We start from the raw sequence: 2,295 nt of genomic DNA on the forward strand, positions 1-2,295 counted from the left end.
TGTGTTATTGCGCATATAAAGCACTCTAGGTCTTAACTCCTCATTCCCAGAGACGCGGTGTTTTCCCATCATGCATTTCAATAACATGAGGTTTCTTCGGTGCATCCGGTGACCTTTGGTCATAGCAGAGTAGCCTGGGCTGTGTGGGAGATGGGTTCTGGGTGAGTGTGTGCGGGCCGAGGCGTGGGCCCTGGTTCCCTCTTGGCGCTGTTCCGTCTGCTTTTTCATTGGAAGAAGTGAAGCCTCTCATCTAATTCTGTCACCAATACTAAATGGCCTTTCTATATTTTGACACACTGAATCACCATGTCCGAGTTTGTTCCATTATGTATGATGGCTCATGTTTGGGGATGATGAATCATGATTTTTTTTTTCTGAGCCCCTGCCTCCCGGCAGGGCCTCCCTCCTCTCCTATTCACCCTTCTTTGAAGCTGGACCCCTGGGCACGGGGCCCACCAGGAGCACCGCGAGAGGTGGAAACGCAGATGAAAGAGCAGCTCTGGAATCTCCCAGGCCTGCGGGCACGCACATCCCCGCTCCGCGGACAAATGGCAGAAAGACAACTGGATGCAGCAGAAAACACAGCATCGTTGGCCCAGGTCTCCATGGCAGCTAGGAGGGGAAAGAGAGCCGCTCCCCCTCCAGCCCTCACCTACCACGGAGCCTGGTGTGCAGAGAGCAGAGCCCGGTGCGGCAGCCTCTTCCCGCTGCCACACATCTGCCTGCCCAGTTCCAGGCTGGGGTTCAGCCCCCACCCAACTCTCCTGGGAAGACATGACTCTTACACAGCTCCAGGCCCGTCTCCTGGGCTCCTTCCCCATTGCCTGGGATGGCTGCACGTGGCGCCTGGGCCTCCTCATGCTTCCCTAGCCTCCATGTGGTGCCCAGGCCTGGGTGAGTGGTCTGTGGGGAGGGCACGGGCTCACCAGCGTGCAGTCGCCACCGCTGACCAGCCCCCTGCAGCTTATGTGTGGGTGATCAGCCAGTATGTCCTCCTCTGAGCCTTGGCTCTGACCTGACTAAGTGGGAGGGCAGCCCACGAGATGCCGTGTCGGACCAGCCCCTGAGAGGCCCCTCCCCAGCCCACCCCTCTCTCAATCTGTTTTACTTTCCCTTCCTTCAAAGGGCTCCCTGGGCAGCTGCCTTGGGCCTCAGGCTGGGGCAGGGCCCTCCTGTCTGCTGCTCTCTGCTTTTCAGACACTGAGTGAGCCTTTACTGTCATCACCCATCTGGGGCAGCCTCCCTGTTAGACCAGGATTTTATTCACTTTCACATGCCCGGCACTCAGAGCACCAAGCTAGTAGGCCCACTGGCTTTCCAGGTCTGAAGCCTGCCATCCGGTCAGCACAGCCTCCCCACTGCTGCCAGTGCCCGGCCTGTGTGCAGGGCTGCTCGCCACTCCAGGCCACCTCTGGCCGGAGCAAGGACACAGGTCCTGGTGGTACAGGAGGAGGCTGTCCTGCTGGAAAAGGGGGTGGCCCTTGCCATCTAACCTGCAGGCAACTGCACCTGCCACGCTGGCCCTTCTGCGGCAGCAGCCCAGGTTCTGGCTCCCTGTGCCCAGGTGGTCCTCCCGTGAGCACCTCTTCTAAGGACTCCAGACTTGCAACGGTTGCAGGACTGCCCTGCTGAGAAGCACAGGCAGTGCGCACAGCCTTGGACATCTGGGGCCAGTGCCCCAGCAGGGGGATGGAACTCCTCTGCTCCTGGGGGCCTGGTGTCTACTGTGCTGGATGGCCTCCCCAAGCGTCCCACCCCTCACTCCCCAGGTGCTCCTATTTGGGTTTGAGCTTTGCTAAGCACCACCCCTGCTCTGTGTTGGGTGCTGGGGCATCTCCCAGAATGCCCCACCATCTGTGACCCCATAGGAGGAAGAAGGGGCTCCGGGGCTCTCATTTGCTGAGGCCTTCAGAGGCATGAGCTCATGCCATCCTTGCAAACCTCCAGCAAAATGAGTGTCGTATTTCTGTTTACAGATGAGGAAACAGAGAAGTTAGGTGCCTTGTTCAATGCCCTAGAGGTAGTAAGTGGCAGAGCTGGGATTCAAACCTAGAAACACCTGTCTCCTTGTAGCATGCACCATGTCAGACTCTGGAGAAGCCTTTTGTGGATTGTCTCTGCCATGAGACCTCACAGACCCTAGGAGAGAGATGCTGTTTGCTACGGTCTGAATGTTTGTCCCTCCAAAACTCATGTTGAAATTTAATTGCCCTTGTAGCAGTATGAAGATGTGGGGGCCTTTAAGCGGTGATTAGGCCATGAGGGCTCTGCCTGCAGGGATGGGATTAATACTGC

General features: G+C 57.7%; 1 annotated feature.

Annotated features, from left to right (window-relative positions):
- Positions 223-1,015: an enhancer, noted in NCBI's record as "H3K4me1 hESC enhancer chr2:10357075-10357867 (GRCh37/hg19 assembly coordinates)". NCBI's record gives its function as "activates a minimal SCP1, AML or CMV promoter by ChIP-STARR-seq in primed H9 embryonic stem cells {active_cell/tissue: H9 hESC(primed)}" and the evidence as "EXISTENCE:reporter gene assay evidence [ECO:0000049][PMID:30033119]".

The sequence above is a fragment of the Homo sapiens genome, chromosome 2, assembly GCF_000001405.40.
Source record: "Homo sapiens chromosome 2, GRCh38.p14 Primary Assembly".
In the NCBI taxonomy this organism is placed as follows: Eukaryota; Metazoa; Chordata; class Mammalia; order Primates; family Hominidae; genus Homo; species Homo sapiens.